Genomic DNA, 20,547 nt, shown 5'->3' with positions numbered 1-20,547 from the left:
TTGCCAGGTGCCCAGTGCAAGCTGTAGGTGGATCTACCATTCTAGGGTCTGGAGGATGGTGGCCCTCTTCTCACAGCTCCACTAGGCAGTGCCCCAGTAGGGACTCTGTTTGGGGGCTCTGACCCCACATTTCCCATCTGCACTGCCCTAGCAGAGGTTCTCCATGAGAGCCCTACCCCTGCAGCAGACTTCTGCCTGGACATTCAGGTGTTTCCGTACATCCTCTGAAATCTAGGTGGAGGTTCCCAAACCTCAATTCTTGACTTCTGTGCACCCGCAGGCTCAACACTACGTGGAAGCTGCCAAGGCTTGGGACTTGTACTCTCTGAAGCCATGGGCCAAGCTGTGTCTTGGCCCTTTTTAGTCATGGCTAGAGCAGCTGGGATGCAGGACACCAAGTGCCTAGGCTGCACACAGCACGGGGACCCTGGGCGCAGCCCCCAAAACCATTTTTTCTTCCTATGCCTCCAGGCCTGTGATGGGAGGGGCTGCTGTGAAGACCTCTGATATGCCCTGGAGACATTTTCCCCATTGTCTTGAGGATTAAAATTTGGCTCCTCCTTACTTATGCACATTTCTGCAGCAGGCTTGAATTTCTCCTCAGAAAATGGGATTTTCTTTTCTATCGCATTGTCAGGCTGCAAATTTTTCGAACTTTTATCCAGGAGCTGGTTTTTTGAAAAGATCAACAAAACTGATAGACCGCTAGCAAGACTAATAAAGAAGAAAAGAGAGAAGAATCAAATAGATGCAATAAAAAATGATAAAGGGGATATCACCACCGATCCCAAAGAAATACAAACTACCATCAGAGAATACTATAAACACCTCTACGTAAATAAACTAGAAAATCTAGAAGAAATGGATAAATTCCTCAACACATACACCCTCCCAAGATTAAACCAGGAAGAAGTTGAATCTCTGAATAGACCAATAACAGGCTCTGAAATTGAGGCAATAATTAATAGCTTACCAACCAAAAAAAGTCCAGGACCAGACAGATTCACAGCCGAATTCTACCAGAGGTACAAGGAGGAGCTGGTACCATTCCTTCTGAAACTATTCCAATCAATAGAAAAAGAGGGAATCCTCCCTAACTCATTTTATGAGGCCAGCATCATCCTGATACCAAAGCCTGGCAGAGACACAACAAAAAAAGAGAATTTTAGACCAATATCCCTGATGAACATTGATGCAAAAATCCTTAATAAAATACTAGCAAACCGAATCCAGCAGCACATCAAGAAGCTTATCCACCATGATCAAGTGTGCTTCATCCCTGGGATGCAAGGCTGGTTCAACATATGCAAATCAGTAAACATAATCCAGCATATAAACAGAACCAACAACAAAAACCATATGATTATCTCAATAGATGCAGAAAAGGCCTTTGATAAAATTCAACAACCTTCATGCTAAAAAGCTCTCAATAAATTAGGTATTGATGGGACGTATCTCAAAATAATAAGAGCTATCTATGACAAACCCACAGCCAATATCATACTGAATGGGCAAAAACTGGAAGCATTCCCTGTGCTCTGCTTCCCTTATAAAACTGAATGCCTTTAACAGCACCCAAGTCACCTCTTGAATGCTTTGCTGCTTAGAAAATTCTTCCGCCAGATGCCCTAAATCATCTCTTTCAAGTTCAAAGTTCTACAGGTCTCTGGGGCAGGGACAAAATTCTGCCAGTCTCTTTGCTAAAACATAAGAAGAGTCACTTTTGCTCCAGTTGCCAACATGTTCCTCATCTCCATCTGAGACCACCTCAGCCTGGACCTTATTGTTCATATCACTTACCAGCATTTTTTTCAAAGCCATTCAACAAGTCTCTAGGAAGTTCCAAACTTTCCCACATTTTCCTGTCTTCTTCTGATCCCTCCAAACTATTCCAACCTCTGCCTGTTAACCTAGTTCCAAAGTTGCTTTCACATCTTTGGGTATCTCTTCAGCGCCCCACTCTAGTGGTACAATTTATTGTATTAGTCTGTTTTCAAGCTGCTGATAAAGACATACCCAAGACTGGGAAGAAAAAGAGGTTTAATGGACTTACAGTTCCACATGGCTGGGGAGGCCTCACAATCATGTCAGAAGGCAAGGAGGAACAAGTCAAGTCTTATGTGGATGGTGGCAGGCAAAGAGAACTTGTGCAGAGAAACTACCATTTTCAAAACCATCAGATCTTGTGAGACTTATTTACCATCATGAGAACAGCATGGGAAAGACCTGCCCCCAAGATTCAGCTATCTCCCACTGGGTCCCTCCCACAGCACTTGGGAATTGTGGGAGCCACAAGATGTGATTTGGATAGGGACACAGAGCGAAACCACATCAGTACCTCACTTTTAGTAATGTATAGAGTAAGCAGAAAACAATAAGATTTGAACAATACTGTAGGCCAAATGGACCTCACACATATACAGAACATTCCATCTAACTGCAGAAGAATATACATTCTTTTCAAGCACACAAGGAACATTCTCCAGGACAAATCATATGTTAGGCCACAAAACAAGCCTTAACAAATTTAAGAAGATTGATGTCTATATGAAGTATCTTTTCTGACTATAATGGTATGAAACTAGAAATCAATAATGAGGAAAATTGGAAAACAACATGTGGAAATTAACACACTCACTCCTGAACAACCAGTAGGTCAAAGAAAAAATCATAAGGGAAATAAAAAATATCTTGAGACAAATGAAAATGGAAACACAACATGCCAGAACGTGGGATGCAGAGAAAGCAATTCTAAAAGGGAAGTTTATAGTGTTAAATTCTATATTAAGAAAAACAAAGATCTCAAAGAACCTAACTTTACACCTCAAGAAACTAGAAAAAGATGAACAAATTAAGCCCAAAATCTAGAGAAAGAGGGAAAGATAAAGATCAGAGCAAAAATAAATGAAATAGAGAATAGAAAAACAATAGAAAAAATCAACGAAACTATGATCATAATAGTGAAATCTGGTTTTTTGAAAAGATAAAATTGACAAACCTTTAGCTAGGCTAAGAAAAAACTCAAAATTATAAAATTATAAATTATAAATTATAAAATAAATTATAAATTATAAAATTATAAATGGAAGAGGAGACATAGCACAGAAATGCAAAGGATCATAAGATACTACTATGAACAAGTATGCACCAACAAATTGGATAACCTAGAAGTGAACAAATTATTAGAAACATACAAGCTACCAAAACTGAATCATGAAGAAATAGAAGTTCTGAGCAGATCAATAAAGAGTAAGGAGATTGAATCTATAATCAAAAACCTCCCAACAAAGAAAAGCCTGGTACCTGATTGCTTCACTGGTGAATTCTACCAAATATTTAAGGAAGAATTAACACCCAGCCATCTCAAACTCTTCCAAAAATTAAAGAGGAGGGAAAACTTTTAAACTCATTTTATGAGGTCAGCATTACCCTGATACCACAGCCAGGCAAAGACACTACAAAAATAGAAAATTACAGGCCAATATCTCTGATGAGCATACACGCAAAAATCCTTAACACAATAACTAGCAAACTAAATTCAACAGCTCATTGAAAGGATCATACGCTATGATTAAGTGAGATTAATCACTGGGATGTAAGGATGGTTCAACATACACAAATAAGTAAATGTGATACACCACATTAACAAAATTAAGCATAGAAAATGTGATAATTTCAATTGATGCAGAAAAAGCATCTGACAAAATTTAACTTCCTTTCATGATAAAAACTCAACAAATTATGTATAGAAGGCACATACCTCGAAATATTAAAGGTCATATATGACAGGCCCACAGCTAACATCACTATCAGTGGTAGAAGACAGAAAGGTTTTCCTTTAAGATCAGGAGCAAGATAAGGAAAAACGAAAGGCATACAAATTCGAACAGAAGAAGTGAAATTGTCTCTGCTGATGATGTGGTCTTATATATAGAAGACCCTAAAGATGCCACCAAAAACTTGTTAAACTAATAAACAAATTCAGTAAAGTTGCAGTAAAAACCAATATTGTTTCCAGGTACTACTACCATCTGAAAAAGAAATCAAGAAAACAATTCCATTTACAGTACCATCAAATTATTACAGTACCATCAAATTATTTAAGAATAAATTTAACCAGAATTTATAATATATATAATATAATAAAATAAAATTAACCTGTTCACTGAAAACTATAAGACTTTGATGAAAGAAGTTGAAGACACAAATAGAAAAATATCTGGTGTTCATGGATTAGAAACTATTGTTAAAATCTCCATACTACCCAAAGTGATGTGTAGATTCAGCGCAATTTCCATAAAAAAATTCCAGTGTCATTTTTCACAGAAATAGAAAAATACTCCTAAAACTCATAAGAAACCACAGAATACCCCAAATAACCAAACTTTCAGCAAAAAGAACAAAGCTGGAAAGGCATCACACTACCTGATTTCAAAATTGAGTATAAAGCTACAGTAATAAAAACAGCATGATACTGGCATAAAACCAGACATAGAGACCAATAGAACAAAATAGCCCAGAAATAGATCCCGTAATTTATAGTCAGTCAATCTTTGACAAAAGTGTCAAGAACACACAACAGGGAAAGGACTTTTTTTTAAATAAGTGGGTGGGGAAAACTAGATATCCATATATGAAGGAATGAAATTAGACACACCATATTACAAAATCAACTCAAAATGGATTAAAGACTTAAGAGCTGAAACTGTGAAACTAATGGGAGAAAACGTAACGGAAGAAACTTCTTGTCATTGGTCTGACCAATGATTTTTGGATAAGACTTTAAAAGCACAGGCAGAAAAAGCAAAAATAGACAAAAGGGATTGAATCAAACTAAAAAGCTTCAAGTGTTGGCAAAGATATGGAGAAAGGGAACCTGTGTACATTGTTGGTGGGAACGTAAATTAATATAGCCATTATGGAAAACAGTATGGAAATTCATTTAAAAAAAGTAAAACTACCGTATGACCCAGCAATCTCACTTCTGGCTACATATCTAAACAAAATCAGTATACACTTCTATGTTCATTGCAGCATTATTCACATTAGCCAAGATGTGGAATCAACCTAATTGTCCATGGATTGATGAATGGATAAATAAAATGAATATATGTACAATGGCATACTTTTCCAGCCTTTAAAAAGAAGGAAATGCTGTCACTTATGACAACATGGATAAACCTGGAGGACATTACGGTAAGACAAACACTGCATGATCTCATTTATATTTGGAATCTAAAAAAGTTGAACTCATACAAGTAGAGAGTAGAATGGTGGTTGTCAGGGGTCAGAGGAGATGAGCTGATGTTGGCCAAAGGGTGCAAAATTTCGGTTAGATGGGATTAAAAAGTCCTGGTGATCTGTTGCACAGTATGGTGACTATAGTTTATACTTGAAAATTGCTAACAGAGTAGATCTTAAGTGTTCTTCACACACAAAAATAGTGAGGTGATAGATATGTTAATTAGCTTGATATCCTTTTACAATGTATATGTATATTGAAACACCATGTTGTACACTATATATACAATTTTTACTTATCAATTATATCTTAAGAAAAAATTAAGCCATTTGAAATGTGTATTTTATTTAAAATAATGGTAGTAAACCTATTACAGGTTAATGGAAGCAACATTTTTTATGAAAAATAACAATTTTCAAAACCAAAGGTTATTGAGAAGAGGCGCATTATTTTACATCTTTGTAAATCTCCTTGGCATTTGACTTAATAGAAAACAGCTGGATTCGCATCTGCTTTGGCCTTCAATTTGTCATGATATCACAGGTCATACAGCCTCAGGCAAACGTCACTCCACACTTGCGAAAGAAGTGAAAACTGTTGTAGTTCACAGAAGATAATACTTTTGATTGAGATGGTGCTATGATGCTATGAGTTTGTGAGTTCACAATTTAACCTCCTTTTAATATAAACTTGCAATAATAGGAATATTTAAGATATCCATATGGGTCAAAACTTGAAAGAAAAATGCAAGGATATGTGGAATTGAAAACATAAACCTTCTGAACTAATGATCTTGAAAAAGGCAGAGGAAATTAAAAATCTGACTGCTCTTGGGTAATGAGGTCCGGAAGCACTCCATGCATGTTGAGGTCCCAGGCTCATTGTGGCAAACAGGTACTGGATTTGGACTCTCCTGACATAAAAGGAGCCTGGAAAAACAACAACAACAACAAACAGTGATGGATACCCAGGTTTTTTACTTACGAGTGGTGGCAGGGGGTGAAAAAACAAAGCCATGCAGAGAGGACCCAGCCTAAGCTTTAATCTTGCTCAGTGACTAATACACCCCTTTTGTCACATGGCACAAAATCCCCAGTTGACAATACAAGATTGTCTCTGGACTGTGCTTCTCATGGGTGAGGTAGAGACAGCCAAAAAGACATGGAGGGAAGAAAAGTTCAGAGAGGAGGGGAAAAGATAACCCATAGGAAAAACACTTAGAAACTAAACTTGCAAAGCACTGGGTTAAAGTTAGGAAATCTTAAAATGAACAAGACAGCAAAACTAGCAATCAAGACATGAATTCAGTCCTTTCAAAATGCAATTCAAATAGTGTTAGTGTGACTTTACGATTTTTGAAGAAATAAAGAATAGTGTCCATAAAATGTTCATCCATTTGAGAAAGGTAGATATAAAAAAAGTACCAATTGGAAATCATAGAACAGAAAACATAGTTACTGTATTTAAAACATCTAGGGAAATGCTATTACCAGATGCAGTTAAAAAGAGAAGTTACTCAGAAAGCACAGAAAACAGTATGAAAAACAGAAAGATTGAGACAAATGGAGGATGGATTAAGACGGGTCATTATACTTTATAGGTTGAAAAGAGTAGAAATGGAATGGCAGAAAAGTTCTATTTAAAGAAACACTGGCCCAAGAATTCTCCAGAATGGAAGAAAGACCTTCATTGGTCACATCAATCCTGAGCAGGATAAACAAAAATCTATACATAACATCTATTCTGAAAGCTACCGCGGGAAAAACTAGACGTTATTAGAAAGGAACATTACGCTGATGCAGACCTCCTCATCAGGTTTGTTAGAAGACAATGGAATAATATCTTCAAAATAAGGAGAGAAGATAAAGGTTACCTAAGAATTCCATACCTGGCTAAAATGTCATTCAAAAATGTCTCATAAAGACATTTTTAGAAATACAAATAGACTACCTTATACACTTATTTAAAGACACATTTAAGGATTTATTGCAATGAGAAAAAGTAAACCTCGAGGGACGAGGAGTGAGATTCAAGAAACAAGAATGAGTGAATAAATTCTTGAAATACCAGTAAATATAATTAATCATTGACTGTAAAAATGTTTTCATTTGTTTAAAACAGGTATAATTAAAATTCTAGACAATATTAATGAAGGTGGGAATGGGAAATCCAGTGAATTGCTAACGTGTGCCAACATGTTTGCTTTAGTACTTTATAGTCTGTTAAAAAAATATATGCTTATGTAGAAATTAGGAACTTAAAGATAGACAGTGAAGTAATAAATATAATTGAAACCTCCCAAATAAGCAGAAGGAAGAAAGGGGACTAAAGAAAACTTGATCAATTTAGTAGAATGCAGGAAAGGAGAAAATAAATGACCAAAAGCATATTAAACAAATACATCAATAATTAAAAATGTAAGCAGATTAACTTCCCTGTGTTTCTCAACAAAGAGTCATGGCCTTGTTTGCACCTAAAAACATAGCCTTGAAATATATATATATAAAGCAAAAACTATTAATTATAAGGAGTGGTGGATAAAACCATAGGAATATTGGGAGATTTTATTATATCTAGAACAGATAGATCAGGCAGACAAAAAATTACCAAGAATACTAAAAATCTGAACACAGTTAACAAGTTGATCCTATGAACATAAATAGAAATTGATACCTAACAATTAGACAATACTCATTCTTTTCTAATATATTGAACAATTAAAATTAACCATATCTTAAGATCACCAAGGATGCTTTGACAAATGTGAAATAGTAGCATATGGGCCATGCTATATGAGTATAATGCAATTAATTTGGAAATCTGTATTCAAAAGATAGTTTTTTTCCCCAAGATCTTTGACCCCTAAAGACGTTTCTTCATGTCGCAAAGAGGAAATCTAATGGAAACAATGAAATACAGAACTGAACAAGAAAGAACTACAAAAAGAACAGAAATTAATTACATGGAAAAGAAGGAAGAATATGGTCAACAAAATCAAGTCATTTTAAAAAGACAAAACTGTCAAATCTTTAGCAAAACTGATGGAGAAACATGGAGAGATTAATAATATTAGTAATAGAAAAAGGGACATAATTTCCAATGGAGAGGAGTTTATAAACTATGGTAGAGAATATAAGAAGTGAGATAACAATCCAAATCATTCTATAAGGCTGTTACAACCTTGGTAGCAAAACCAGACAAGGATAGTGTAATAAAAAAGTATAACTCAGTAGTACCCAGCTGCATGTGTATACGAATCAGATACACATAATCATGATCAAGCAGGGTTTAGGAATACAGTTTTCAACATAAAACCTGCTTTATTCACCAATCATCAGATGATGTTAAATAATACAATCTTCCCAATGAATGCAGAGAAGTCATTATATAAAATTAAACTTATGATAAATTTTTTTAAAAAACTAGAACTTAAGGCAATTTCCTTAACCCCCAATAAAGAGGCTGTACAAAACAAGCCTGCAGTGAATGTTTTTACTTCATAGTAAAGATAAGAGTATCCCCTTTCATAGTAAAGATAAGAGTATCCCCTTTCAAATATAGGACAAGACTTGTTCAATATCACCCCAGAAGTCCTAGCCAATGCATTATGTTAATGAAGTGAGGTATGATTGTCAATGAGAGTAAAAATGAAGTCATTAATTAGCATGTTAATATTTTAAAAATACAGGAACATTTTTTTCTGTAGAAAAAAAAGTCAACAAGTTCACTGGATCCAAAGTCAGCGTATAAAAAGCAATAGCAGGCCGGGTGCAGTGTAATCCCAGCACTTTGGGAGACCAGGGTATGCTGATCACAAGGTCAGGAGTTCGAGACCAGCCTGGCCAACATGGTGAAACTCCGAAAGTAAAAATGAAGTCATTAATTAGCATGTTAACATTTTAAAAATACAGGAACTTTTTTTTGTGTAGAAAAAAAAAGTCAACAAGTTCACTGGATCCAAAGTCAGCGTATAAAAAGCAATAGCAGGCCGGGTGCGGTGTAATCCCAGCACTTTGGGAGACCAGGGTATGCTGATCACAAGGTCAGGAGTTCGAGACCAGCCTGGCCAACATGGTGAAACTCCATCGCTACTAAAAATACAAAAATTAGCTGGGCATGATGGCAAATGATTGTAATCCCAGCTACCCAGGAGGCTGAGGGAGGAGAATTGCTTGAACCCGGGAGGTGGAGGTTGCAGTGAGCTGAGATTGAGCCATTGCATCGCCAGCCTGGGCGACACAGCCGGACTCTGTCTCAAAAAAAAAAAAAAAAAAAAAAAAAGGCAATAGCAGATACTCTTCTCAAAAATTCATAACCCAAATCAAGTTGTGAGAAAATATCAAACAAACTGAGTATTCTACAAAATACTGAGAAGCTGTCACAGCCTTGGGGAGCCTAAGGAGATGTAATCACTAAATGTAATGCTGTGTCTGGGATGAGATCCTGGAACAGAAGGAAGATAGTAATGGAAAAATGGGTGAAATCAAAACAAAGTCTGTAGTTTGTTTAGTGTTAATATTATCTCTTCTTTTTGACAAAGTAGCAAGGTTATGTAAGGTATTAACATCAGGGAAAACAGGGTGGGGAAGTTTTGTACTATCTTTGCAACTTTTTTGTAATTCTGAAACTATTAAATAACCAATTATACAATTAATGGGGGAAAAAAAGGACCTCCTAAAGTCAAATAAGGCCTTTATAGGGAAAAAAAATTACAGTGTATCATTGACAGCCGTAAGAGATATAGACAGTGGTCAAAGATGAGAGATCTTGATATAATGTTTTCAATTTCTCTAAATTGCTGTGTGGATTTAATAAAATGTCAGAATCTCAATAGGATAGTTCATCAAACTTTAAAAGCTGCTTCTAAAAATTATTTGAAAGATGGTGGGCTAAGAGTCAGATAATTTTGAAAGACAAGGTAGGGCCAGACACTTTTGAAAAACAAGGTAGGGCCGTCGCCCTTTCAAATACCAAGATACTGTAAAGCTGTAATAATATGGTGCGTTAATGCACAGAGATAGAGAAATGGATCAGGGGACCAACAAGAGAGTTCAAGCACAGACCTGCTCATATAGAGAAATATGATACAAAGTCAGGGGAAAATTAGATCCCTAACACAGAACATAGGCAAAAATAACCATAAAGAAAACTAAAATGCACAGCTATTTGAATATCTTTATGACATCAGTGTGGGGAAGAATTTCTTAAATTAGGCATTGAAGGAAGAGATTGTGAAATTTTACAACACCTATATTTAATTGTCCTCTAAGACAAAAGATAATGTTGGCTCTTCTAATTTTGGGCTTTTGGACTTTAAATGCAATTGGGATGGGGGCAGGAGGTCATTCAAGCTGGAACATTGACATCTTTTTTGCTTTGCAAGATCACCCTTAATACTGTGTGGAGAATACTGGAGGAAGGGTTTGGAATGGAAGAAGGGTTTTTGTAGGAAGATAATGTTTCTTAGGACTACCATGGAAAGGGAAATCATGGGACAAATTTGGGATTTGCCTTAGATAGGGTCAGCAAGACTTGCTGATAAATTGGATGTTGGTGGTAAGGAAAAAAGGAACGAGAACAATCGTGAGGGTTTTTTTTGTCGTTTTTTGTTTTTGTTTTTTGGCTTCAGCAACTGGTACTGTTTATAGAAATGGGGAAAGGGGAAATTAATATTTGTTTAAAATGCTTTGAGTTGCCTGATAGACATCCAAGGGGAGCAGTCAGTTTCTAAGCAAAAGACTGCGCTTTTGTGGACAGTCCTGTGGCAGAGGATTGGAATTTGGGAGCCATTGGCATGTAGGTGGCATTTAAATTATGTGACTAGGTGAGGAGGGAAGGGTTGTTACCTAGGGAGTGGACATTGATGGAGAAGACTAGTGACTAAGTTCTGAGGCAAGACCCTCCAGCGTGTAGATGGCAAGCAGAGCAGAAGCCATTTATGACTGAGAAGAGACCACTGATGGCAGGGGAGCGGAAACCAGGACCATGTAATTGTCACCAAAAATAAGATAGCATGCATGGGATTTTGTTTTTGTTTGCTTGTTTTAATGAGGATGTTGAATATTACTGAGAGATAAAGTGAGATTAAGAGCAAGTTTCTTGGCCACATAAGGAATTGCTGAAATTGTCAAGCAATTTCAGTGGGTTTGGAAGGGATGGAAGCCTGTGGGGCATATATGTTAGCAGGAGAGAATGTATGGTAAAACCATTGAGTTAGTGACAGTAGACTGCTCTATCAAGAGGCATTTTCAGGGCCAAGAGGTGCTGAGCAAGGGGGTGGTAACTGCAGGAGCTCTGAGAGCATGTGGTGTCTTGTGGAAATTAATGATTCAGGATCCGGAGAGAAACTGGTATTGCAGATAGAGGCCTTTGAGGAGACAGGGGGATGATGGAGTCTTTAAAATATATTAAAATCACCTACAAAACCTTAACTAGACATTAGGATCCCTTGGGAACCTGAAAAACAAAGATCTCTGTGGGACACTGGGAATCTGCATTGTTTAACAGCTCTCCAGGTGAGCCTAATGAGAGTAGCCAGATTTGAAAATCTGTAACCTAAGTCAGGGTACTACCACATTCACCTTCAATATTCCTGCTGGGGAATTTGTTTTGAACGTGTATTTTCATAAGAAGCACAGTGTTTTCATTCGTATATTATGTTTATGTGGCACTGCTGGGCAAAAAGAGACTGTTGATGGTCTAGGGAGTCTAAAACACATAAAGCAGCTTCTCAGTGTAGCAAGCAACCACTGATAACTCCTTGAGTATAATATAAAGTTTAATTTGGGGTATTAAAGTCTGTGTGCTCCTTAGGTAAACACCTTTTGGTAATTAACCACATCTTACAGATTTTTTCCTTTAAAGTTAAAATCATACAGCATTTTTATTAGTCAGTTAAAATCGCGCTGTGTAAATTTACCAGAATACAGTTTAATTCTTTTCTGTGGAGCACATTTTTGGTGATAAAAATGATGCTCCGTGAATATCCCTGTATAGAATCTTCTGTATATCCCTGTATTTCCTTTGCTTTTTTAGTTCCTTGAGAGTGGAATAGTTGGACCAAAGAGTACATTAGTGAACTTTTAGTAATTCATTGATTTTACTGCCAGAGAAGAAATACGTATTTCTGCCAAGGAAATTCACAGTATGGATGGCAGAAGGGAAAAATCCCTCTTCCACCCCACATTCCTTGTCCCTAGAAGTAACTCATCAACAATTTCTTGCCTACCTTTCCAACAGTTTTACCTATATTTGGGTTTATCCTTAAAAAACAAATAAATGAGAAAACACTTACCAGTTCGTTTCTACAAACTTCAGTAACTTGTATATTTCACTAAATCTACTGAGAATTCAATCCTTAATAATCCCATACAATTCTACCTCATTATTTTTCTCTCTCATTTTCTTGCTGTTTTATTAAATGGCAATGCAGTGGGCTTACGCAGTGGAAGGTCTGTATTGACGGCTGCTGGGAAACAACTCAGTAGTGTGTGAGACTGCCCGCTCCCCTAAACCGCACGTGCCCGGTGTTTCAGGTTTGCATTTCTTTATGCAAACAGGTCGTGATGTTTCCTTCGCAGGTCGGCCAGCCGTTTGGATTTTCTTGCGAATTGCCAGTTTTATCCCTTTTGCCCATTTTTCTGTCTTGGTTTGGTCTTTATCTCGTTGGTTTCCAAGAGCTCTTCATTTATTAAGGAAATTAGCTCGATGTCTTTCATGTGTCCCAGGCGGAAAAGTCTTGTCTTCCCTGCAGGTCTTTAGACGTTAATGTATGTGTTTTTGCGGCCAGGATTTTCATTTTTTTCATTTAGACAGATGTGTACATTTGTCCCTTTATTCTTCAGCGGTTTTACATTTGAGCATCTCAGTGGGGTTTCCTCCATTTCGACCCCCATTTCTTTGGGGGCTGCACCCCCACCACCCAACCCACCCCCCTTTTCCAGACCTGGCTTTGGGGTCCCTCACGGCCACTCCCTGACGTCAGCCCCCAGCCTTCGCGCCAAACTGTTGCTGTGGCAACCGCAGCCTGATTGGCACGTCACAGGGCTGTGGTGAGGGGGCCCGGAGAGGGCGGTGAGGCTGCTGATTGGCTAGCACAGAAGCCCCGCCTCTGCGGAGAAGCCCTGACAAGGAGGCGTCGAGCTGCACCTCGGTGCAGAAGTCTGGGCAGCTGCGGGAGGAGAGGTTTGGGAGGCGCGGGAGATGTCCACCCTGGGCTGGTGGCGCCGCCGGGCGCCGGGCGCCATGAGGGTGCGCTAGGCGGCTGTTCGTGCCCGAGGCTGCGCAGCACTGAGGTGAGGTGAGTGCGCCTTCGGCCGCCCCGCGCGCCTCCTGCCCGCGGGACCTTGGTGTCGCGACGGCTCTGGGCCAGAGTGGCCGTCTTGCCGCAAGCCCAAGACCCCGCGGCAAGCCAGCGACCCTTGTGGCAGGGCGGGCTGGCGGACATGGTACTTGGCCGCCCGCTGCCCAGTCCGAGAGTGGGCACAGTGGCGGCCAGGCTGTGGATGGTTGGTGCCTTTTTGGGGCAGGGGTGGGCGCAGCCCGGGCTGCTGCGTTGGTGCCGCCATCTTGCAGTCCGGGGTCTGAGGGGCTGCTGCAGGGTCTCCGCGCCTTTCTGACTGGCCGGGGGCCACCGCAGCAAACCGGGGGCATTAGGGCAGACAGCCGGGGGCTCTGCCACGGCAAGTCCAGCAAGGTCGACACCAATGCTATCCCTGTTGCCACGGCGGAATGCGGCTCTCGGGAGCCCTGGGCCTCCTGGGCTGGGTCTGGGGGCTGCGAAAATGCCCCTTCCTGCGGGGTGCCATCGGCCTCGCGGCGCCGGCGTGCCCGGCTACCCTCTGGGGGCGGGGCTTGTTTGCCGCAGTGGTGGTGGGAGGGGCGAAGGGCTGTCCTGCCTGTAGGGGTTTTCTTTCCCCGCCCTCTCGGGCGGTATCTTAAATAAGGGCGGCTGAGGCTTGCTGCGCAGGAGCTGCCTTGGTTGGTTGGCGGCAGATGGGGCGGGGCAAGGCTCAAGTGACTGGGTGGCATTGGACGTAATCGTCTGCTCAAGCCCCACCCACTGGGTGCCATCTTTTATGAGGGTGGCTGAGGTTTGCCGCGCAGGCGCTGTTCTGGTTGATTGGTGGCAGATGGGGCGAGGCAAAGCTGAATGACTGTGGGTTGCATTGGATGTAATGGTCTGTTCCAGCCCCACCCATTGGGTGCCATCTTTTATGAGGGTGGCTGAGGTTTGCCGAGTAGGCGCTGTTCTAGTTGATTGGCGGCAAGTGGGGCGGGGCAAGGCTGAAGTGATTGGGTAACTATCCACTCAGGCCCCGCCCGCTTTGACGCCATGTTTGATGGGGGCTGCTGAGGTTTGCTGCGCAGGTGCTCCCCTGGTTGGTTGGTGGCATATGGGGCGGGGCAAGGCTGAAGTGACTGGGTAGCATTAGATGTGACGATCTGTTCAGGCCCTGCCCGCTTGGACGCCATGTTTGATGGGGGCTGCTGAGGTTTGCTGTGCAGGTGCTGCCCTGGTTGGTTGGTAGCAGAGGGGGCGGGGCAAGGCTGAAGTGACTGTGTAGCATTGGATATGACGATCTGCTCAGGCCCCGCCCACCTAGATGCCATGTTTGATGGGGGCTGCTGGAGTTTGCTGCGCAGGTGCTGTCCTGGTTGGTTGGTGGCAGATGGGGCGGGGCAAGGCTGAAGTGACAGGGTGGCATTGGACCTAGTGGTTTGTTCAAGCCCCACCCACCTGGGCGCCATCTTTAATGAAAGTGCTTGAGATTTGCTGCGCAGGCGCTGTCCTAGTTGGTTGGGCGAGACAAGGCCCGCCCGCCTGGGCGCCATCTTTGATGGGGGCAGCTGAGGTTTGCCGCGCAGGCGTTGCCCGGATTGGTTGGCGGCAGATGCGGCGGGGCAAGGCTGAAGTGGCTGCAGGTGGCATGGGCGGGACGGTCTGTTCAAGCCCCGCCCACCTGGGTGCCATCTTTGATCGGGGCGGCTGCGGTTTGCCGCATAGGTGTGGGGTTGTCCACAGGGAGGGGCGGGGCCACGGTTGCTGTGCTTGCCTGCCTTGCGGTGATGGAAAGCTGTGGAGTGCCGCGCTCCTTGGGCTGTGTGTGCTGGTCGCCAGGCTGTTTTGCCAGTGGGACTGGCTCAGTCCCCGCATCTGGGGGAGCCGGGAGACGTGCCTAAAGAGTTTGCCTTAGCGGCCGCGGAGCCATTTATGCTTAAGGACAGGGTGACGGGTTATCACCGCGCTCGCTGTGTTTTTGGCTAACGGTGGCAGAGGCTCACCCCTTCCCCTGTTGTTGCCTGACCAAGACTTTGTTCACCACAGGATGCGTGTGGTTCCATCTTGTGTATGGGGGCGGCTTAGTGGGGGAGCTGCGAGGCGGGTTGTGCAGGCGCCCTGCTGGCGGGGCTAAGGGCTGGGGCCCGGGACCGTTCCTCGGGACTGATAGGGCTGAGAGCACCCTCACCTCCACTGCCCCTCACCGCCTCTACGGTACTGTCTGTGCTAGCCACAGGGTGGCGCCCGAGGTTGATTGCGCAGGCGCCATCTTGAGTGACACCTGGGTCGGCCCCAGGGGCGGGCATGAGGGAGGGCTTTCTCAGTGACTAGGGGCTGCCGAGCCTGGTCCACTGTGGTGCAATCTTTGGCTGTAATGGGGCACGTGAGGGCAGTTACACAGGCACTGGTTTGAATGACTGCTGGGTTGGCTGTAGGGCCGGGTGCAGAGGACTGAGTGACTGACGGGGTCTGCATGGCCCCGCCCACTCTGTGGCATCATCTTTGCTGGCCATTAGGTGGCAGCCACGGTGTACTGTGCAGGTGCCATCCTGAATGACAGCTGGGCTGGCTGCAGGTGCGGTTCTGAGGGAGGGTCTGCTTTGTCTTGAGTGACTGAGGGGGGCCATAGCATGTGTGTCTTGTCTGATAGAGCAGCCGGCATTCAATGTGGCGGGTGCAGTGCGGAGGCACCATTACTGAATGACAGCTGCGCTGTAGGAGTGAGCGTGAGCCCCGTCCATCCTAGTACCACGTGTGTTGGCCGGTGGCGGGGGCAGCAGAGGTGTACTGCGCAGGCGCCATCTTGAGTGACAGCAGGGCTGTTGGAGGGGGCTGAGGGGATTTCAAGGTAGGCAGGGCCGTAGAGCCGTGTTCATTCATTCTGTGCCATCTTTGCCGGTTCATGGGTGGGGCCTGCACTGGAGCCTTCCTGAGTGACCGCGGGCTGCACTGGCGTGCCAGCTGAGCCCTACCCCCGCTATCTTGGGCAGCGTGCCCTCATGGCTGGTGGCGCCTTACTTCCTCCAGGGGGCGCCAAAGCCAGGCCTCGGGAAGCGGGCGGGTTCAGCTGTGCAGCCTTGGGTCAGTGAGCAGAAAAGTGGAATCCAAGGCCAAACTCAGACGTTTTAAGAGATTTGGGGAAAGGTGGGATTTTAAGTGAGAAAATGGAGGAAGTGGGCTGTGGGTGTAAGATTTGGGGTCTAGGTGATTTGGAGACTCTGTTGGTGAAGGATTTTCACTCAAAATCGTACAGCTGGAGGTGGAAAAATTCAGGGCTGCGGGTGGTCCTGAGAGGGGCAGTGCATGGGAACTAGGAGGCTGCCCTGGGCAGGTGGGGGTGTGTTTAAAGGGGCTGCCCCATAGGTAGGGTGGGGCCTCTGGAGAAACTGTTCATGAGCAGAGCCGCTAGAGGGCTGCCCAGCTTCCAAAGCTTAGTTCGTTTGGGTGTGGCCCTCCCAGCCCTAGCTCTCCTACGGAGTCCTAGAGCTCACTTACCTAGCCCTGGCTCCACCCAAGGAGATCTTAAGTCAGCCCTTTTGTTTTGTTTGAGGTAGGGAAAGTGACACATATGACGCTTCCTTCCTAGCCTGTCATAATTTTTTTTTTTTTTTTTTTTTTTTTTTTTTTTTTGAGACAGAGTCTGGCCCTCTCACCCAGGCTGGAGTGTGGTGGCGTGATCTTGGCTCACTGCAGCCTCTGCCTCCCGGGTTCAAGTGATTCTCCCACCCCAGCCTCTTCAGAGTAGCTGGGAATACAGGCGCGCGCCACCATGCCCATCTAATTTTATATTTTTAGTAGACCAGGGGTTTCGCCATTTTGGCCAGGGTGGTCTCGAACTCCTGACCTCAGGTGATCTGCCCGCCTTGGCCTCCCAAAGTGCTGGGATTACAGGCGCGAGTCACTGCGCCCATCCTTTGAATAGTTTTTAATAAGCTCTTTAACCTCACCAAAATATGCCCACCTGACTCTTGGAATATAAACCAGTCTCATAATCATGAAGGTCCTTCCCCCAGGGACCTCTAATTGATTGAACACATACTCTGAGGTGCAGTGGGACTTGGACTATGTCCTATTAGTCCACTGAGAACATGTTGATAAACCCTAAAATATTTTACGTGATAAAGGGTACTATTACCTAATAATAACGATAGGATAGCGGTCCTAACATGGGGACGGCCAGCGCCAAAAATGGGGTTCTTGAATTGATTCCTTAATCTAGAGCCCCAGAGAAGGTTGTAAGACACCCCAGAAATTGACTTGAATGCCTTTGATGTAACCTTGTTGGAGAAAGTCTATGAGTACATCCCAGGGTGTGAGGTGGTCTAAGGGAGCTATACCCGTGGCCATTCATCCTGGATGGGATGCTTTTCATGGTCTCATTTGACCTGTGCCATCATAGAAGATAAATGTGGAACTGTTGTGGTATTGTTCCCCCCTGAGGAACCCAGTAACTGCAAAATAAACTTGGCGTCTCACATTTTCTTTTCCTCTACAGCTTTGCCTTCTTGATCTTCCGTCCTTCTTGGAGACGACTGGCGAGAGGAAGAGGGACTAGGTCCAAACGCTAGGTGGCTGGGTCCAGGTGAGTTGAATTTCCTCCTCACAGTGCCACATTCATCTTTGGAGTGACCACCGCACTTCCTTACTCTGACACTTTCCTACTGCATATGTGTTCCACATAGCCACCCCAGCACCATTTGTGCCCTCTGAGAACACCCAGACTCTTCTGGTGGATTGTGTATTCTCTAAAAATTCTCCTTGGCCTCACACCATCCATTTCAGTATCCTCCCTCTTTTTCTCATACTCAGCTACTCCTTCAGGGCTACTCTTTTTCTCTTGCCTGGTGATTAAAGAAGCATGAGAGATTCATCCACTCATTTGTGAATATTGATCAAGTGTGTACTTTGTGCCAGGTACTGGGACATAGCCCCAATGGGGGAAAGGAAGTGTTTTCAAAGAGTTTTTAGTCTATTTGGGAATTAAAGCTGTGGAAAACATAATTGTTTGATTTATACTTTTGCAAGAGAACATCTGCTAGCAACAGCTGACTTAATCTTAGAGAGGCCACATAGGGGCCTCCCTGAGATGGTAAAGAACATTAAAGCTGAGCCCTGAAGGAGTGTGAATGGTGTGTGTCATGGGGAGAGTAGTCTCAGCAGAGGGGATAGGGTTGTTGTTGAGAGATGCAGAGAGAGGAGCTGAAAATCCAGGATTCCTAGAGCAAGGGAATCGTTGAGTGGCATCTGATTGAGGTAGGAAGAAGGTAAGTTGTGGTTTCATTGTGAAAAGACTTGTAATCTGTGGTGAGTAACTGGGCTTGACCTTAAGTGCAGCGGGAAGTGCTTTTAACCATGGGAGTATCATGATAATCAGATTTGTGGTTTTAAAAAGATCATCTGGTTTCAGGGTGCAGAAGGGGAGGGTGGACGCAGTGGGTGTGGGGAGACCAACTTGGGCCTGGGTGAGAGATGGTGGCTTGGTTTGTGGTCATATCACAGGGAGGAGTGAAGTGGGTAGATTATTTGAGAGGTGTTGAGGAGGGAGACTCCTCACTTTCTCTGTTCATGGCCTGCTGACTGATTCAGAGGAGGCACAGTGAGTCACATGATGTGGGGAAGCAAGCACATAGCTAGAGGTTGTCTGTTTGTTCATTTGTTAGCAAGCATTGATACTGGGCCTGATCCAGGACAGGATCATGCCAGGCTTAGAGTCTCCAGAAGTGAATGACATAATCCCTGGCCTCAGTGTCTACTGAATGGAAACTCCCATCACAAGAAGAGTAAGAATGTGTTTACCAAGATAGGTGGCTATGGTGGTGGTGGAATACTGCTTAGGGAGAAGCTGACATGACCAGGTGAGCCCTTGGGATGGGTTGGTGTATTCCTGGCCTCAGTGCTCAAGATATGCATTATGGTGCTTAACCCTGTGGAGACTTGGAAACCTCCTTTGCCCGAGGGCTCATGTTGGTAGATCCACATTTAACTAAGCTCAGGAGACTTAAAACCGTACTGACATGTGACTTGAAATAGGATGTTCCTGTTCCCACAATTCTGGTTTATTAATTCATGGTAGGAGTACAATAGCAGGGACCCAAGTACTCAGCAGTGTGTATGATCAGCAAATTCTCTCCCTGTAGGCAGACCTACATGGGAAACACAACCATAATGAGAAGGTTGCTTGGTGAGTACGGAATCAGAACCAAGAGGATGTGGGTGAGCTTTAATAGCGCTGGTTTGTCACATAGCCTGGTACAGCCATGTTGTCACAGTGAAACCCTTGCTTAGGGTTACCAAGATATCGGAAGCCCCTTATCTAACACCCTTGTCCTCCCCAAACTCCATTCAAGTTAGGTCTGATGAGAGTTGTTCACTATCCTGTAGATGGTTGGATGGACCAAGCTTTGTGGCCTACTTTTTAGTACTCCCTCCCCTTAAAAAAATCAGATGAGCCAATTATTGTTATTAGAATATAGTCAAATAACTCATACTGTTCTGGAAGACATTTTGTCTCTTTAAAGTAGCTTTATTTGTCTTGAACCATTTTGTGCTGGTCATAAGACTGAACTCTTAGATATTATTTCCTCTCTTTCTAAACTTTTGGGGAAATCTCTCAAGGATGGACAACAACAAGGAGATTTTGCTGCAGTGTGGTAAGTGCTAAGCTTAATGTGGTAGAAATAAGCCCAGGATGTTGAGATTATCTGAGAGAAGCCAGCCAACAGACCAGAGGGTGGAGGTTGTGGCCTGTGAGATGGAGTTGGTGGTCATTTACTCCTTGCTCCTATATAAAATTTTCCCTCTAAAGTCCCTATGTCCCATATGTACCTTATTCATAGGTGATTGGACCAGACTGGATACCTTAGAGCAGTGGTTCTCAAAGAACAGCTCCTGGAGTGATTGTAGGAATGCTTCTTTCCTGGGGAACCACAGACCTCCTGAGTCATCCCACCTGGAAAGGTAGCTCCGTATTTCATAAGCACCCTAGGCAACTCTTCTGCACATCTGAGTTTGAGAACCACTGCCC

General features: G+C 43.2%; 2 protein-coding genes and 1 long non-coding RNA gene across 45 annotated transcripts in view; 2 read left to right on the top strand and 1 right to left on the bottom strand.

Moving 5' to 3' along the window:
* Nucleotides 1–5,566: 5,566 nt before the first annotated feature.
* Nucleotides 5,567–13,221, bottom strand: MIMT1 (MER1 repeat containing imprinted transcript 1). The gene is made up of 2 exons (NR_024059.2): nucleotides 12,537–13,221; nucleotides 5,567–6,171 (listed from the first exon to the last, which is right to left on the bottom strand). It is a non-coding gene; the product is annotated as an MER1 repeat containing imprinted transcript 1 (long non-coding RNA).
* Nucleotides 13,397–20,547, top strand: part of ZIM2 (zinc finger imprinted 2) — a 66,180-nt gene continuing 59,029 nt past the window's right edge. For 10 of the 15 annotated variants that reach the window (NR_163141.1, NR_163140.1, NR_163143.1 and 7 more), the window contains exons 1-2: nucleotides 13,397–13,541; nucleotides 18,019–18,105. The gene's annotated coding sequence lies outside the window, so the exon portion shown is untranslated. The remainder of the gene's footprint in view (nucleotides 13,542–18,018; nucleotides 18,106–20,547) is intronic. The other 5 variants (NM_015363.5, NM_001369774.1, NM_001387358.1 and 2 more) reach the window with 1 other exon arrangement.
* The window catches only part of PEG3 (paternally expressed 3), a 30,645-nt gene continuing 23,494 nt past the window's right edge, over nucleotides 13,397–20,547 (top strand). For 17 of the 29 annotated variants that reach the window (NM_001146185.2, NM_001369735.1, NM_001146187.2 and 14 more), the window contains exons 1-2: nucleotides 13,397–13,541; nucleotides 18,019–18,105. The gene's annotated coding sequence lies outside the window, so the exon portion shown is untranslated. Of the gene's footprint in view, nucleotides 13,542–16,314; nucleotides 16,372–18,018; nucleotides 18,106–20,359; nucleotides 20,481–20,547 lie in introns of those variants that run through there. The other 12 variants (NM_001369725.1, NM_001369721.1, NM_001369717.1 and 9 more) reach the window with 4 other exon arrangements.

The sequence above is a fragment of the Homo sapiens genome, chromosome 19, assembly GCF_000001405.40.
Source record: "Homo sapiens chromosome 19, GRCh38.p14 Primary Assembly".
Lineage (NCBI taxonomy): Eukaryota > Metazoa > Chordata > Mammalia > Primates > Hominidae > Homo > Homo sapiens.
The sequence above is the reverse complement of the archived record's forward strand: the minus strand, read 5'-3'. Positions and strand labels throughout refer to the sequence as shown.